This window comes from Homo sapiens, chromosome 5 (assembly GCF_000001405.40).
Source record: "Homo sapiens chromosome 5, GRCh38.p14 Primary Assembly".
Lineage (NCBI taxonomy): Eukaryota > Metazoa > Chordata > Mammalia > Primates > Hominidae > Homo > Homo sapiens.
Window position 1 is genome coordinate 93,245,882 of NC_000005.10, and position 1,160 is coordinate 93,247,041.

General features: G+C 37.5%; 1 annotated feature.

The window, feature by feature from the left end:
- Nucleotides 415-920: an enhancer, noted in NCBI's record as "NANOG hESC enhancer chr5:92582002-92582507 (GRCh37/hg19 assembly coordinates)". NCBI's record gives its function as "activates a minimal SCP1, AML or CMV promoter by ChIP-STARR-seq in naive H9 embryonic stem cells {active_cell/tissue: H9 hESC(naive)}" and the evidence as "EXISTENCE:reporter gene assay evidence [ECO:0000049][PMID:30033119]".

Sequence of the window (1,160 nt, forward strand, 5' to 3'; positions counted from 1 at the left end):
AAAACACTGGATTTGAGAGATCAGTCACCTAATATGCGAATAAAAACCAAAAACTAAATTTTAACAAAGGTCCGGCAGCCTTCTCTTGGTCTTTTCCTAAGTGCTTAGTTTGCAGTTCTAACTGTAATCTAATCAATGCTTTTCTGATTCAAATATCAATACTTAATATTTACTGCCAGAATACTAAGTTAGATGGCCTGGCCACCTCCTCCTTAACAAGAAAAAATGATCTAAGCACTAGCCAGGCTTTGATGAGGCAGGGAATGAACTGAAGAGAGCCTCCTTCCGCCAACACAGCAGCAATGTGTTTTCTGTCTCAACTGAACGTCCACAAACTTGTAATTTATTTGGAAAAATATGTTGCAGATAAGCAAAAAAAGGCATCTGGAAGCCTTCTTGCCAAATGGTAACTTTCTGGAAGTTTCCTCATTTAGAAGTAATTTCTGGAAAATTTCTTGATTAATACAAATCCGTGAACAAACTTAAAAATGATGGCTTTGTTATTGCTTTGGCACAATATGTTAACAACACTGTGAGTGCTGCCAAAACTCTGAGAGTTCTTTCATGCGGATTATGGTCTTGTTTACATATCCAGCTGTACTGAGGCCTTGTCCATGGTGGTAACCTAACAATGTTCCCAGTGGGGGTGCCCATTAGGGGAGGGGAGACTAACTGAAGTTTAGTTTGTTTAAATTGAGCAAGAATGCACAGCGGCACTCAGATCTTTGGGGAATGTGTTGGAAGCATACCCTTTCTGGGATCTGTTTTCGTTTATTTAAGGGGGATGTTTGCATTGCTCAAAAATTGCAGTACACAAACTTGCCATGCAAAATGCCTTCCACATGTTTACTGTGGTCTATACAGAAGTGAGTAGAAAACACAAATAGTACTTGATTGAAGTAAAATGCTAAATAAAATAGTAATTGCTGGCCTTGGTCATTTTATTAATTAAAATCCCAAACCACTCTCTGTTGTATGTATGTGTGCATATATGTGTAAAATAAATTCTCCCAAGCATGACCATTTAGATCTGATAGGAAAGATAAAATTCACTGAAGAAAGTGAATTTGAAATTGTGAGAAGTTTGTTCCCGTTGATGGGACATTTATGCAAATTTTGTGTTGTTTTGCACCGATTTGTATACATGGATTTCACCGATA